The sequence below is a fragment of the Homo sapiens genome, chromosome 11 (assembly GCF_000001405.40).
Source record: "Homo sapiens chromosome 11, GRCh38.p14 Primary Assembly".
Taxonomy (NCBI): Eukaryota; Metazoa; Chordata; class Mammalia; order Primates; family Hominidae; genus Homo; species Homo sapiens.
This window is the reverse complement of record NC_000011.10, coordinates 76,344,984-76,346,712: the sequence shown is the minus strand read 5'-3', so window position 1 is coordinate 76,346,712 and position 1,729 is coordinate 76,344,984.

The following is a 1,729-nucleotide window of genomic DNA, read 5'->3' as shown; positions in this document are numbered from 1 at the left end:
CCTAGCATGAGACCAAGCATTCCTTTAGTGCACACTTACTGAGTTTCTACTGGATGCTTGTTAGGTGTCAGTTTTCTCACACCAAAACAGGGTTGTGGCAGCAGCAGTCATCATTGTCCACAGCGGCAGCTGCTGTTAACGGTGCTCAATATATGCCAGCTATGTGCAAAACACTTTACCTATAGTGTCTCATTTAAACTTCTCTACTTTATGAAGAAGGTACTATTATCCCCATTTTACAGGTGAAAACCTAAGAATCAGAAGGTCGCACAGCTAGTGAAAGGTAAATCCAGAATCCCAACATGATATAATGATTTGCAGATCTAATTTGTTGTTAATTGTATTTGCTTCTCATTCTAATTTTGAATATCATATTGAAAACCTATGTTGCTCAGTCTGTTTGGCATCAGGCACAAGGCTGTCATGGATACAAATGTGAATGACATACAGCCCATGCCATGGATACACAGGAGAATAAGATTGACCCCCGGCCCCCAGTAAGCTGAGTCACATGGGAGAGCCAAACAAGCAAGCTGGAGTCTGCCAGGATCAGGTCTAAAGGTAGGGTAACCCTATAATTGATGGTCTTAACCAAAGCACTTTCGAGCATGTAAGGGGGCACTATTAATAGTTATGCCAGACAACAGATAAAACAGACTGTCTACAGCGCGCCACAACTTTTGTTCACCATAGTTAGAGGTAAACTCGGTGTGAGGGGAGTACAGTGGAGAGTACCCTGACTGACCAGAGACAATGCCCTGGATCAACAGAGTGCAGCATGTGTAGTGTGTTGTCACCGTTACAGGCCTTAGTCTAGATGCCAGTTCCCCTAGGGGCTTCCTCAGCCCTGAAATCTGGGTTGGGGGGTCCTTACATGTGCTTCCAGGTTTGCCCGGCTCTGCCACTGGATGAAAGCTGTGTGAGAACCTGTGTGGCTGTGAGGTGTCTCTCAGTTTGCAGCTCAGAGTAGTAGACAGCATTGAATATAGGAGGTCAAAGAGGTAGGCAACAGCCTTTGCAGAAAGACAGCATTGAATATAGGAGGTCAAAGAGGTAGGTAACAGCCTTTGCAGAAACCTATAAAAACAGCAATATTTGTTTCTCCACATATTACCTCATTAAGTTAATGAGTGATGATGGTATATAAAACTAAGCCAAATTCACCACCATCATTGCCAATATAGGTCCAGTTGAAACATGTTTGAAGCCACTGAGAAACTGGCATTTGCTAACAGTAGTTGGACCTTTGAAAATGGTGTGTACTGTGCAACTTTATGACCCCAAGTATTAGGTTAGTCTCACACTTCCTTCTCAGTGAAAATGTAGCTTTTATCTTAGTATTACAAGTATACCCATATAATGTATGATTCATCCTCCGTCCCCCCCACCACACACAAAAAAAAACAACTGTGATATTCAGCATGCTATTTCAGGTTGTTAAGGTACCTGATATGTAAGTAATACATCTTCCTCACACCAGTATTACACACATTGAACTGTAAATTCTTCATAGTGGTAGAGTTTTAGAGCTGGAAGGAGTTGTGGAAACTGTAGACAACTCATTTGACAGAGTACCGGAGAGGACGGCTTGCTCAGAATCGCACTGCTTGGTGATGGCAGAGGCTGGGGGTGAGCAGAAGTGTCCTCCCTCACTCAGTGCTGTGCTCTGTCACACCACACAGACGCAACTCAAGATGGAAAACCTGAAAGAATCATTTCTTGGCAGGTG